Raw genomic sequence first — 14,581 nt, 5'->3', positions numbered from 1 at the left:
TCGCGCCACGCACTCCAGCCTGGGCGACAGAGCGAGACTGTCTCAAAACAAACAAACAAAAAACCCAAAACACAACAATAACAACAAAAGAAGTTACTGCAACGATCCAGATGGAGAAACTGAGGCACGGAAAGATGAAATAGCAGAGTTAGTAGATAGCCCGGCGAGGATTTGAATCCAGATACTCTGACTCCAGCAGCCCCCTCTTGGCCGCTCCCTTCTGGTCCCCGGCCACCAGCAAGGACCCGGGTCTGCCCTGGGCCTAGGCGTTTGTGGTTCTCTCCCTGCAGGACGTGCAACCGAGGGCCGGGCGGCACTGGACATCGTGCACCCGGTTCGAGTCGACGCGGGGGGCTCCTTCCTGTCCTACGAGCTGTGGCCCCGCGCACTGCGCAAGCGGGATGTATCTGTGCGCCGAGACGCGCCCGCCTTCTACGAGCTACAATACCGCGGGCGCGAGCTGCGCTTCAACCTGACCGCCAATCAGCACCTGCTGGCGCCCGGCTTTGTGAGCGAGACGCGGCGGCGCGGCGGCCTGGGCCGCGCGCACATCCGGGCCCACACCCCGGCCTGCCACCTGCTTGGCGAGGTGCAGGACCCTGAGCTCGAGGGTGGCCTGGCGGCCATCAGCGCCTGCGACGGCCTGGTGAGTGAGCTGGGACATGTATACTTGGGGCAGTCTCGGGTGGTGGGATGTGCAGATTGGCTCTAGCCTTGCCACGCACTTGTCTGGTGGCTTTGCCCAGTGCACTTTTTCTCTGCCAGCCTCGGTATTCACGCCTGTAAAGTGGGAGTGACAACGCAGGCCTCGTTGATCTCTAGGATAACAGTTCTCAAAGTTTAATGTGAAAGCCGGGTGGTGGTGCACCTGTAGTCCCAGCTATTTGGGAGGCTGAGGCGAAAGGATCACTTGAGCCCAGGAATTCAAGGATGTAGGGTGTGGTGATTGCGCTTAGCTGGCGACACAGCGAGACCCCAGGCACTCTCAAAAAAAAAAAAAGAAAGAAAGAAAAAGAAAAAGAGAGTTTAATATGAGCTCAAATCACCTGCAGGCCCTGTTTAAACAGAATTTTTGCAGGATAGGTCTGGGATAGCGCCCAAACACTTGGATTTCTGAAAACATCTCAGGTAATATTGAAGATGCAGGTCCAGAGATCCCATTTTGAGAACCTCCGTTTGACTGGACTAAGTAACTGAAAAAGCAGTTGACTTCTCTTCCTTGGGGCATCAGTTATGACTGTTCCTTCACAGGTCCCTTTAGGCTGCTTTTCTCCAGGAAAGCTACCCCTCACCCTGTAGCCATTATGCAGGGTGTGGTGAGGAACCCCTTTCAGCCCCTCTGCTCGAATCAGAACTCCAGGAAAAGCAGGTCTCAGCTTCCTGGCTTCGCCTGGCTGAAGGGTGGTGCTGGCTACTGCAGCCCTAATTGCTCCCTGATTGGGTGCTGATTAGAGCAGCTTCCACTCCAGGCAGAGTAGGGCCCCTTTCTGTTCGTGTTCAGGTGACCAGCCCCACTCTCCCAGCTCTGGAGGGTGGGGGTTTGGGAGGAGTAGGGGATGTGTGCACACTCTCAGCGTCCACTGTTCCCAGGAGGCCCTCAGCTTAGATTGCTCAGGCAAAAACCATGGGCTGTGGCCGCACAGGGCCTAATGACAGGGCAGCCCACAACGCAAGCTGCACAACGTCTGGACCTTTGAAGGCCCATCTGCCCTGCACAGTATTCCCATTTATGGAGCCTGTGCCTGTCCCTTAATGTACAATTGATCTTGTTGAGCCTGTGCCACAGCTGTGCACATGGGGCATCATTCCCATTTCACAGATGAGGAAACAGGCTCAGAGGGGAACTTGCCCAGGGTCACCTAGTCATTCAGTGAGTGGTGGGCGGGAGGGGGGGACTCCGCATTCATACCCAGGTCTCCAGACCCAAGAGCTGATGCACTCTCCAGCCCTCCCTCCAGGCCCCCTGGTCCTGTGTGACCCAAGGGGCAGAATTGGTGCCTATGAGGGGAAGTCCGAGGGACATAAAACCTTCTTTCCTGTTGGAGCCCTGAGCTTCCTCAGGAGGTAGTGGGCATCAAAGATGCTTCCCAGGGCCCCTCCCCTCCCTGGACTCTGAATGCTGGCGGACATGTCCAAGACACTCCTGCCAGCTTCCCTTCTCTGGGCAGCCCTGGGCCCAGAGAACAGGGTGTCCTGGTGGCCGTGGGCATCTCCTCCGCTCGGGTGTGGCTGTGGATGCTTTTGGAGTGATTCATTGCCTTAGGGAGATAGAGGGAAGGTCAGAAGCCCTGGCCAGCTGGGAGGGAGCACAGTGCTGGAAATGGCTGGCATGCAGAGGAGATGGAGAATAGCCTGGAGGCCTGGGCACAAGCTGCCCCACTCAGGATGGCTGTCTGGGACTAAGACACCGTTTTGTCAGATTTGGATGCAGACACATTTCCCTCTCCTAATGGGGTGGGTGTGTGGGGCAGCATCCCCAGGGGCGGAGGCTTCTGAGCTCCGCTTTGAAGGTTTGGCTGTGTGTGAAATGGCAGAGAAGGGCTTTCCAGATGGAGGCTACAGAGTGAGCAAAGGCCCAGCGGGAGGAAAGTACAGTGTGTCCGCGGGCAGTCACAGGTGGTGTGGGCAGTGGGGGCTCAGCTGAGCAGGACGGGCCTCTGGGACGTGCAAGAAGAGCAGCTGAGGGCCAGCCCTCCCTGTGTGACCCTGGTGCTTCTTCCCCAGAAAGGTGTGTTCCAGCTCTCCAACGAGGACTACTTCATTGAGCCCCTGGACAGTGCCCCGGCCCGGCCTGGCCACGCCCAGCCCCATGTGGTGTACAAGCGTCAGGCCCCGGAGAGGCTGGCACAGCGGGGTGATTCCAGTGCTCCAAGCACCTGTGGAGTGCAAGGTATGCTCTTCTGCTCCCAGTTCTCGGGTGGGTGCTGGGCCTGGGGACATGAAGGGGCCTTTCTAGAAGCCCCCCTTAACATCCCCATGCCCAGTGCCCCTTAGACCAGATGACACAGACAGACAGATGGATACTTTACCATAGCCTGTGCCCTTAATTGTGCCACAAGACTGTGTCCTCTGCCTTTCGGGCCTGCCCCAGTCAATCCCCTAGACTGACCTTCCTCGCTCCATCTCACCTACTTCTCCCACGTTGGGGCTCAGCCTCCCTCTGCTCCCTCCCCGCCAACAGCCTATGGTACCTGGCTCTGCCAGCCGTTCTTCCTCCAGTGCCCAGGCCGGGTGAGCTGTGCCCAGCTCCAACAGGGCCACTAGCCAGGAACTTCCCTCCCACCACCACCCTGCTCCCACCCTAGAATAACTAACCTCTATTATTGGGACCTGGAGTGTGGTACCCAGTGCCTCCTCTGCAGAGCAGCAGTAGTGCCGGCCAGTCCAGGTGAGGAGCTGCCTGCTAAGGGTTGCTGGGGTTTGGGGAATGCTTGGCTAGCAAGCCAATCTCAGGCTGCCCACAGCTCTGGTACTGCATTTGCTGGAGCACATATCCACAGAGGCATGCTTCTTGGCCTCAGTTTCCTCAGCTTCATAGATGTGCTTCCTCTTCTGATCTGGAGCAGCCTGGGTCAGGGGAGCAGGCCCAGTAGGGCAAGCTGGGCTGGGTCTTGGCCAGCCTCCCCAGGCTGGGGTTTAGAGGGTGGGGTCAGCCTGTGTTGGGATGCACTAAGCCCCCAGGGTGGGAGGAAGTGACACGGGGAGATAGGGGCCCAGTTGCCAGCTTTGTCAGGCCCAGGAGTTCCCCTCCCATGGACACAGTACTTTACCATGTTTATATCCACCATTTCATTTGCCCTTTGAGGTCCCCCTGTGAGGCAATTTATTCCTATTTTTAGTCAGGGAATCTCAAGATCAGAAAAGGAAAGTGACCAGGCAGAGCCACACAGCACAGATCTGGGACAGAGCCAGGAGGCGAATTCAGGCCCCTGGCCTCTGATCCCTGTGTGGTTCCCAGTGCCCCAGAGAGAGCTCACTGAGGAGAGGCCCTGGAGACGTGTGCCCTGGGCCTGTCCACTGGCAGCTAACTCCACCCCATCTGGGCCTCCAGTGTACCCAGAGCTGGAGTCTCGACGGGAGCGTTGGGAGCAGCGGCAGCAGTGGCGGCGGCCACGGCTGAGGCGTCTACACCAGCGGTCGGTCAGCAAAGAGAAGTGGGTGGAGACCCTGGTAGTAGCTGATGCCAAAATGGTGGAGTACCACGGACAGCCGCAGGTTGAGAGCTATGTGCTGACCATCATGAACATGGTGAGTCTGTGTGGGCCAGGAGCGGGTGGCGGGGATGGTGTTGGGGGGTGGGGTGCAAAGAGTGGGTGCAGGGCAGGAAGGCTGTCAGGCTGGACCCCAGACCCAGGTCTAGGCCCCAAGTAGGAAGAAGGGTATCCAAGCTCCTGAGGCCAGGAAGGGGTGGGGGTCTTGGCAGCTAGTCACTATGAGAGAGCCTGGGCAGAGGGCTGCTGTGGGGACACCATAGGGTGTCATGCCACTAGGAGGGGGAGCAGGAGTGGGAGACTGAGGCAGCCACAACCCTGTGCTTGCCTGGGGGGCTTGTAGACTAGTTGGGTCCTTCATGTTTCCCTGCACAGATACTTCCTTCCTTTGTGTCAGGACCTGTGCTAGATGCTGGAAACACAGAAATGCCTGATCAGACTACACTCTGCCTGAGACTCTGCCTGAGACATCAGCACACATTACAGTTAGAAGAATCTGTGCAGTTCTATGGTCACTAGCTGGTAGCCTTGGGCAAGTCACTTGCCCCTTCTGAGTCTCAGCCTGCTCATCTGTGAACTGGGCATGACGACAGTACCTTGTGGGGTGGGCAAACTGCTCTTGACCCCACATGATGGATGAGATATCAGAGGCCTTCAGAGGGCGAGTAACTTGCCCAGGTCACACAACCAGGCAGGGCAGAGCCAGATGGGAGCTCAGGTGTCCTAAGTCCCACCGGGGGCACTGTGGCTGATTGCAGCTGGGATTCCTGGAGCCGACTACTGCAGAGCTGCCACTCCCTGCTCCTGCCCTGTGGGTGCCCGTGGAGGCCTCAGGCTCCAAGCTGCTTCCTGCAGCCCCTGGGAGGAAAGATCTCTGCCCCTGGCATTCTTAGCAGCCACCTGGTTGGCAGGCCACCATATAACCCTGTTTCTCTCCTGGGCTGGGTTGTTGGGGGCAAGGTAAGTGCGTGTGCTGTGAACAGGATAATATCTAAAGGAGCCCTGGGGCCAGGATCCTATGCTGCTGCTTCCCCCTGCCAGCCCCTCACCTCCTGCAACCCTAAAGGAAGTACCCTCTGAGATCATGCAGTGTCTGGCCCCCTAGTTTATCGCTGTGAAACCTGAGGCTCAAAGAGAGGAAGGGGCTGCATCCAGGGCTGTTATCTCTACCTGCTGGCCACCACGTCCCCACTACTTGAGTCCTCATCAGTGAGTGCAGCTCTGGGCCAGTTCTTCCCTCACTGGGACACCCTCATTGGCTCCCTGTTCCATATGGAATAAAAGTCACAGCCTTCTGCCTGGCATTTGAGGCCTTGAAGGCCCAGATCAAGCTTCATCTGCCCAGGGAGGGGAGCCACTAACAGCCAGGGTTCAGCAGGGCTATTGCTGGACAGCAGGGCCCAGCCCCTGGGCTATAGGGGTGGAGCAAGGGGCAAGGCCAAGTTCTCAGGCCCTGAGGTTCCCTCCTTCTCATTCTCAGCACTTTGGGGGCTCAGCCTGAAAGACCCTGGAGGCTGACTTGAGCCACCAATGGTTAACTGGGTTCATTTCACCCCCACTTTTCTGAGTGTCCCCTATGCTCCAGATTCTGGGCAGAGTAAGACGCACCCGACTGGGTATTGTGGTTCATGGTTATAATCCCAGCGCTTTGAGAGGCCAAGGTGGGCAGATCACTTGAGGTCAGGAGTTGGAGACCAGCCTGGCCAACATGGTGAAACCCTATTTCTACCAAAATACAAAAAATAGTTGGGTGTGGTTGTGCACACCTGTAGTCCTAGCCACTTGGGAGTCTGAGGTGGGAGGATTGCTTGAGCCTGGGAGGCGAAGGTTGCAGTGAGCTGAGATCGTGCCACTGCACTCCTGCCTGGGTGACAGAGCGAGACTCCATCTCAAAAAAAACAAAAACAAAAACAAAAAAAGACCTGCCCAACCCAACAGGTACCCCATAACTTAACCTGGGTGACAGGATTCAGGTGTTTTTGCCCCAGGGCCTGGCCCCTTCCTGGCTGCCTTGCCCTGGCTCATAGGACCTACCCATTCACTTGGTGAGCCCCATCCTCGGGGAGAGGGTGGGACTGGTTCTCACACTCACCTGCTCTGACAATATCAAGCTTTTCTGAGCTGGTGAGCCCAGCATTGTTCAGGACAGGATGGGGGCACCTATGAGCCTGACAGTGCTGGACCCCCTAGGAGGCTGCAGGGATGGCAGGGACATGGGAACCCATATGGCCAGCCTCTGAGGAAGCCTGGACTGTGGAGCCACGGCCTAAGGCCCTGGTGGGTTAGGGCTGGAGCCTTGTGAATATCTGTCTACCTTTTGTGCAGTGTTCAACACCCACCACCTCATCTAAGCCTCACCCCCATTTTATTATTTATTTACTTCTTTAGAGGTGGAATTTCACTCTTGTCACCCAGGCTGGAGTGCAATGGCACAATCTCGGCTCACTGCAACCTCCGCTTCCTGGGTTCAAGTGATTCTCCTGCCTCAGTCTCCTGAGTAGCTGGGATTACAAGCGTGCCCCACCATGCCTTGCTAGTTTTTGTATTTTTAGTAGAGAGGGGGCTTCACCACATTGGCCAGGCTATTCTGCCCGCCTCGTCCTCCCAAAGTGCTGGGATTACAGGCTTGAGCCACCACTCCCGGCCCTCACCCCCATTTTCAAGTTGAGGAAACAAAGATTCAGAGAGGTCAAGGGGCTCGCTCAAGGTCACGCAGCTAGTAAGTGGTACAGCTGGGACTGGAGCTCAGGTCTGTCTACCTCCAAAGCCCCATTCTGTCCCCTGTGCCCCTTAACCTGCCCTGGAGAGGGGCAGCTGGGAAGCCATGGTGGCCGGGGTGGGCCAGAAGGATGGGGAACAGATGTTCCCTCGGGATCAGATGTTTATTTAAGACTGACTTGTTGAGAGCCATCGCTCTACCTGGGATAAAGTGATGGATGTGGAAGAGCATGATCCTACACTTGGGGACTCTGTCTCATTGTAGCATTTCCCAAGGAATATTTCAGGGAGTGTGTTCCAAAGAATGCCAGTAGTGCACTGTGAAAAAAAGATGCTGCTGTTGAATAAGTTTGGCCACACAGGGTTAAAAAAAGTAAAACGGGCCAGGCATGGTGGTGCACACCTGTAGTCCCAGCTACTTGAGGGGCTGAGGTGGGAGGATTGCTTGAGCCCAGGAGGTGGAGGCTGCAGCGGCTGCAGTGAGCCGAGATCATGCAACTGCACTCCATCTTGAGTGACAAAGTGAGACTCTGTCTCAAAAGAAAAAAAAAAAAAAGGTAAAACAGACTTCGTTACTACAGGACTTCTCAGACCCTTCAAAGTAAATATGCATTGAGAATCCCCAACAGAATAGGCAGGCAGCATTCCCCAAACTTAGGATATAAGCAGGGGCTTTGAAGCAGCGAAACCTGGGTTCTGAGCCCAGTTTTACCCTCTCTTTGAGCTTCACTTACCTCATTTGTAAAACGAGGATAATTGTGCCTACCTTAGAAGTAAGAAGATTAAATGAGATAATGCATGCTAAGCCCCCAGCACAGGGACTGTACGTGTTAAGCTCGATTGAGGTTGGCTGCGGCTATTTTTTTGGCTGCTGCAGTATCTGACCCACAGCCACCTTCAGGACAGCCTCATCTTTCTTTACCAATGCTACCTACAGACCCCAATTTATCAGCATTCTCCCCGTGCTAGACTCAGACCTGAGTCCTAGAGCTTGGGTGGGTCTGTCCCAAGGATAGCAAGACAGGTCCCTTTTTACCCCATTTTCTTTCTTCTTTCTCTCTCTCTCTTTCTCTCTTTCTTTCTTTCTTTCTTTTGGAGATGGAGTCTTGCTCTGTCGCCCAGGTCGGAGTGCAGTGGTGCAATCTCAGCTCACTGCAGCCTCTGCCTTCCCGGGTTCCAGTGATTCTCCTGCCTCAGCCTCCCAGGGGGCTGGGATTACAGGCATGCACCACTATGCCGAGCTAATTTTTGTATTTTTAGTAGAGACGGGTTTCACCATTTGGCCAGGCTGGTCTCGAACTCCTGACCTCAGAGGCAAGGGGAGGTCAGAGAGGAAGGCAGGGACCAGATCCAAGAAGCCTGTTGGCTAGGCTGGGGACTTCTGTCCTTTTCCTGGACAGTGAAGAACCACTTACTGCCTTAGGCAAAGGCATGTCATGATGAGGTTTGCATTTCAAAGATCGATGGTGGAGCTGCTAGGCTGCAGGTGGTCTGGAGGGGCCGCAGAATATGGGGACACTCGTAGGAGACCTCAACAACTGAGCAGACGAAATGATGATGGTAACTTGGACGAGGCAGTGGTGTTGGAGATGGAGAGAAGAGACAGAGTCGGGCAAAACTTGGGAGGCAAAAATTGGTTGGTTGTATTGGAGAAAGGTGGTTCAAGGCTCCCGGGCTCCCAGCCTGTGTGTGGAGGTGACGGTGGCACATGATATCGCTGTTTATCTTCCCCATTTCTGACCTTGGGTTCTGAGAGTGTCATTCATCCCCATAATCAGGGACTTTGGTGCCCTCTTAACAGTGTTTGTTTGGTTCCTTGCTATTTGAATATTCTTTTTCTTGATGCATTGCTAGAAGCCAACTCACAACTGGCCTGTTCTGCCATCCCTGCCCTCTGGGAACCTGCCAGCTGTCCCCAGTCATGGGCTGGCCTCTTTTTTGTTCTGAGGGAGTTTTAAAAGAGCAGATGGCTTTCCCCAGCCATTTCCCCTCACCTTGGCTTATCTTCCATCTTTGGGGATAGCCCCGTCTCCTGGGTCTCAGTAGGGAGCCCCATGTAGCCATGGGGCCTCTGATAGATGTGCACACCTGCCTCCTTGGCCCCATGGCTGTCAGCCCCGGGGAAATGGAATAGCAGAGCAGTGGGCAGGCTCCATAGGCCTGTGCCTACCCTCACTCTACCCTCTGAGCCCTGCCCAGTTCTATGCCTCATTGGAGGGTGCACTCCTGGGATGCTGGTCCTGGCATCCCCAGGTCAGGAGGGCACTGCTATCATAGCCCTGGCAGTTGTAGGACTAGGGCCCTGCGACAGGCCAAGAAACCAGAATTTGGAGGTCTGAGCTGCCATCGCCTGTGCTGGGTGGGCATGGAGTTGGTACTGGGAAGCAGATCCCAAACTGAGGCTCAGGAGAGGCTGCAACTCTGGGAAGGGGCCTCGGAGGCCTCTTGTCCTCTCCAGGTTCTGCTGCTGCCACATTGGGGCAGTGTGTGTGAGGTGTGGGGACACTCATGCATTGGTGCACATGCATCGCCTGTCCACTGTGCAGCCTGTGTGCACCAGTGTGAGAGTCCCTGTGTGTGAGCACAGGTGTGCGTTGCCCTGCGTGGGTGGGTGGGTTGGGGTGGGCATTGGCTGCTTGTATCCTTCATCCTCGTGACAACCTGACCCCCCCATCTCTTGGGCAGGTGGCTGGCCTGTTTCATGACCCCAGCATTGGGAACCCCATCCACATCACCATTGTGCGCCTGGTCCTGCTGGAAGATGAGGAGGTGAGTGGTCATGTGGTCCCACGCTGCCCGGCAATGGCTTCGGCTGCCAGAGCCCTCCTGCCGCATGACCTGTGCTGCTCTTTATGGAAGGGCACAGTGAAGGCCGCCTTGGCCTGGACCGTGTCCCCTGCCACCCCCTGGTTCCTGACTGACCCTCTCTCAGGTCCCAGGTCCTCTGCAGGAGGTTCCTACAGGAGGGATGGTCAGGCTGGAAGCTCGACTGGTGCCTGCGGGCCTCCCACTTCCCTGCTGGGCCTCTGTCTCCTGCCTTCGTATGGGGGAGAATTGGGCCTGACCTTCTTGGAACTCAGGGGAGGCATGAGCAGTCACTCTCTCTGCCCCCAGGAGGACCTAAAGATCACGCACCATGCAGACAACACCCTGAAGAGCTTCTGCAAGTGGCAGAAAAGCATCAACATGAAGGGGGATGCCCATCCCCTGCACCATGACACTGCCATCCTGCTCACCAGGTACTGCAGCCGCAGGAGGGTGGGAGCCTGCATCTCAGGAGGTGCTTCCCGGCCCTGCAGAAGAAGCCCTGGTGGAGGAGGGGGCCGTGCTGTCAGGGAGCCCAATTTTGAGGAGAGTTTGCGCACCTTTGGCCCAAGGCTGGATTCTGTCCGCACTTGGGGAGGTCTTTTTATTTTGAAATAATTGTGGATTTTCTCGCTGTTATCAGAAATAATAGAGAGAGGGCCTGTATAGCCTTCCTCCATTTCCCCCAGTGGTAACATCTTGCATGACTAGAGCACAGTATCCCAATCAGGAAACTGACACTGATACCATCCACAGACTTACTCAGATCTCATCAGTTCCACACGTACTTCCCTTTGTGTGTGTGTGTGTATTCAGTTCTTTGCAGTTTCATCATTGTGGGTTCACCTACCCACCCCCACAGTCTAGATACAGATCTGTCCCATCAGAAGGATGTCTCATGCTACCCGTTTATAGTCACAGCCACCTTCCTCCCCTAACCTCCGGCAACTGCTGATCTGTCCAGAGGCAGTTATTTTCCCTCTGCTGGACTCTGGAGGCATCTGTCAGCACCCCTGCTGGATAGTAACCAAAATTGTTCTGTGCGGGTCTGTGCTCTCAAGGGCCAAAGAGATGCCCAGCCGGTTGTGTGTAAATGAGAGCACCTGCTTCCCAAGCGGCCACCGTGCTGGCCTCATGTCACAGAACGGTGGGAGAGACATCCTTTTCGCTTGGGATCAATTCGGGGGGACCCTTCCCTGGCCTTAGCTCAGGTGGGCCTGGCACTGGGCCAGGTTAGCCTGAAGGCTGCTTCTTTGCCTGTGCAGAAAGGACCTGTGTGCAGCCATGAACCGGCCCTGTGAGACCCTGGGACTGTCCCATGTGGCGGGCATGTGCCAGCCGCACCGCAGCTGCAGCATCAACGAGGACACGGGCCTGCCGCTGGCCTTCACTGTAGCCCACGAGCTCGGGCACAGGTACTGTGCCTGCCCCCATTGCTACACTGAGAGCCGAGCTTCACCCTCGCAGCCTGGGGGCACCGGGTATCCAGCCTGTGGGTCACAAAGTCCAGGGGAAAGGAAGCTCTCTGGAAAAGGAGCCCTGACTGGCCATGTGCTGCCCCTGCACTGTCCCCTCCCCACAACCAGGCTGCTTCCCTGTAAAGCAGGAGAGAGGGCTGCCTGGGCATCTCTAGGACTGGCCTGGAGGGAGTCTTATTTAAAGGGGAGTTGTGATGGGCCGGAAAATCATTGTAGGTCTTTGGCTGTCCCTCCCCATTGCCCTCAGTGCTGTATTTTTTACTCTCGATCCCTGTCCCTGTTCCTGTTTGCTCTGTGGCCTGGGCCAGTGCCTGCCCTCTCTGGGCCTCTGTGTGCTTCCCATAGATTGAGGGGTTTGGATTCAGTGATGTCCAAGGCTCCCTCTATCTGACACTGCTGCCTGAGGCTCCTGTCTTCACAGGCCTCCAGCCACCTGTGCCCTGGCTGTTGAGCTGGCGAATATGGCAGCATCTTAGATTGTCTAGCAAGCCATCAAAGGCAGGCTCCCAGAACGTTCTGTGGGTCAAAGCTGTTGGGGTCATCCATTCAGACGTCCGGGTTTCGTAGGCGATGGCCGTGCCTGCAGGACCTTGAAGCTGCTTATGGCTGCAGAAAGAACAGCCTGCCACAGTACTGCAATTTCCTGGCTGTGTTACCCTAGCTAGTTCCTTAGACTCTCTGAGCCTTCCTGAGGGTAATAATGAGAACTGAGTGAGATTGTGTTTCTGAAAGTGCTTAGCATGGCCCCTGGCACATAGTAGATGCTCAGGAAATAATTTTTCTTGTATCCTTCCCAAGGATGGTCTCTGGAGACCTTTCTGTGATACAGCAGCTCAGATCCCTTAACTCAAGTGCACAGCCTTGGGACAAGGACCTGTGAGTGGGAACCGCTGTCAGACTGTTCTTGAGGCCAGTGAGCTTGCAGGGGCCATCACGGGCCCACATCTGTGCCACCTGATTTGCCATTGCTGGCTGGCCCCCAGGCAGGGGCAGGGCTGCTCTGGGTCCCTGGCCCTCATTTCAGGCTGGAACAGGAGCCCTTGGGATACTAGCTGTCATACCCTCATTTTACATTCAGGAAACTGAGGCTCAGAGAGGGGAATGTGACTTTCTGCAGCCATTGGGTGCAGCCATTGGGTGGCAGAACCAGCCCTGGGAACTAGGACTGCGCACCTTGTGGGTGTCCAGGGGAGGGCAGGCTGGCAGCCTCCCGCCGGCTCACCCGCCCCTGGGGCCTGTGCTCTCACACAGTTTTGGCATTCAGCATGACGGAAGCGGCAATGACTGTGAGCCCGTTGGGAAACGACCTTTCATCATGTCTCCACAGCTCCTGTACGACGCCGCTCCCCTCACCTGGTCCCGCTGCAGCCGCCAGTATATCACCAGGTTCCTTGAGTAAGTCCCCCAGCCCTGGGCCCCTATACCTTGATCCATGAGGTCAAGGTCTACTGGGAGAGATGCAGACAGTCATACTGCAGGGCCGGGGTAGAGGGAAGCAGAGGGGCAAGATCTTGATACATGAGGTCAAGGTCTAATGGGGGTGATGCAGACAGTCACACTGCAGGGCCAGGGTAGAGGGAAACAGAGGGGCACCTGGCAAAGATGTGGTGCCGGCATCCCAAATGTCCTCCTGGAAGGAGGCTTGAACTTGGAGGAGGAGCAAGAATTCACACATGTGCAGAAGGGAGAAGAATGGTGTTCTTGGTAGAGGAAGCCTGAGAAAGGCCTGTAGCGGTAAAGGAGCGGGAGAGCTTTCAGGGAACGGCGGAACCCTGAGCAAGGCTATGGGAGCAAAGGCTGCGTAGGAAATGAAGCTGGAGGAGGTGAGGGACAGCCACAAGGTCCGGTCAGAGACAGGAAGAAGGGGCCATTAAGGGAACTGAAATACGAAGCTTTCTCCTTTTTTTTCATGTTCTCTTCATTTGTTCTGGTGTTTTTGTTGTTGTTGTTTGTTTGTTTTTTGAGACAGAGTCTCGCTGTGTTGCCCAGGCTGGAATGCAATGGCACGATCTTGACTCACTGCAACCTCCGCCTCCCGGGTTCAAGCGATTCTCCTGCCTCAGCCTCCTGAGTAGCTGGGACTACAGGCGTGTGCCACAACGGCTGGCTACTTTTTGTATTTTTAGTAGAGACGAGCTTTTGCCATGTTGGCCAGACTGGTCTTGAACTCGTGACCTCAGGTGATCCGCCCACCTTTGCCTCCCAGAGTGCTGGAATTACAGGCATGAGCGGTGCACCATGCCCGGCCTGTTCTGGTGTTTTTTTGTTTTTTTTTTTTCAAATTTGCTATTTAATGTTCTAAGTAAGAAAAAGTTTTAAATTTAAATTATTGGCATAAATTGTACCATTCATCTTTATTTTGTGCAGTGCCAGGTTTAAATGCAAATATGAGTATAGCTGACCCCAGAAGAACTCGGGGGTCAGGGGTGCTGACTCCTGTGCAATTGAAAATCCATGTATAACTTTCGACTCGCCCAAAACTGCTAATAGCCTACTGTTGACTGGAAGCCTTACTGATAACATAAACAGTTAACACATATTTTGTATGTTGTATATAATATATACTGTATTCTTACAATAAAGTAAGCTAGAGAAAAGCAAATGTTATTGAAATCATAAGGAAGAGAAAATATGTTCACTGCTCATTAAGTGGAAGTGGATATTCATTAAGTGGAAGAGGATCCTCATCCTCTTCATGTTGAGTAGGCTGAGGAGGGAGGAGAAAGGCAGGGGATGATCTCAGGGGTGGCAGAGGTGAAAAAAAATCCACATGTAAGTGGACCTGTGCAGTTCAAATCCATGTTGTTCAAAGGTGAGCTGTATTAACTTGTATGCAGAGTCACTGAAATTATACAATTCGTCTTTTGTAGCTCATATTTACCAGAGGATGAAACAGAATAAAATTATCTCAACTGGTTTCATCTCACTCCTTGGTATGTGCACATTCTACCCAGGCTGTCTACCTTTTCTTACCAATGAGGAAGGAAAGACTGAAAGGAGAAGGAACTGTGGGGTTCTCTTTCCTCCCGTGTCTTCATTTTCTGCATAGCGATTGGCTAATACAGGGGTGTTAACATGGGTAAGAAAGGATGATGGGGCACCTTGGTCATTGTCTTCTTTCTGCATTTGAAGTAAGTCTGGTTCAAATGGAAAATGCAGCCTCTGGGCCTGTCAGTGCTCTCCTGTCCCTTACTCAGTTGTTGACATAACATGTTTAACATCTAATTGCTTTGAGTCTCACCGAACTCCTACACATTATAGGTTCTGAGCTCATGGACCAAAGTAAATGTGAGATGCAAATGGGGCAGCAAGGAATGGTGGACACAGACATTGCCTGTGTCTCCTCTGCTCAGATACAGGCTCTTTTGT

General features: G+C 54.7%; 1 protein-coding gene across 3 annotated transcripts in view; it reads left to right on the top strand.

Moving 5' to 3' along the window:
• Positions 1–14,581, top strand: part of ADAMTS7 (ADAM metallopeptidase with thrombospondin type 1 motif 7) — a 52,259-nt gene that overhangs the window by 10,627 nt on the left and 27,051 nt on the right. For 2 of the 3 annotated variants that reach the window (NM_014272.5, XM_047432122.1), the window contains exons 2-8: positions 291–646; positions 2,725–2,890; positions 4,052–4,248; positions 9,615–9,698; positions 10,044–10,168; positions 11,000–11,149; positions 12,464–12,607. In NM_014272.5, the coding sequence (NP_055087.2) occupies positions 291–646; positions 2,725–2,890; positions 4,052–4,248; positions 9,615–9,698; positions 10,044–10,168; positions 11,000–11,149; positions 12,464–12,607 (1,222 nt within the window). Of the gene's footprint in view, positions 1–290; positions 647–2,255; positions 2,455–2,724; positions 2,891–4,051; positions 4,249–9,614; positions 9,699–10,043; positions 10,169–10,999; positions 11,150–12,463; positions 12,608–14,581 lie in introns of those variants that run through there. The other variant, XM_047432123.1, reaches the window with a different exon arrangement.

This window comes from Homo sapiens, chromosome 15 (genome assembly GCF_000001405.40).
Source record: "Homo sapiens chromosome 15, GRCh38.p14 Primary Assembly".
NCBI lineage: Eukaryota > Metazoa > Chordata > Mammalia > Primates > Hominidae > Homo > Homo sapiens.
This window is presented reverse-complemented; position numbering and strand designations above follow the sequence as displayed.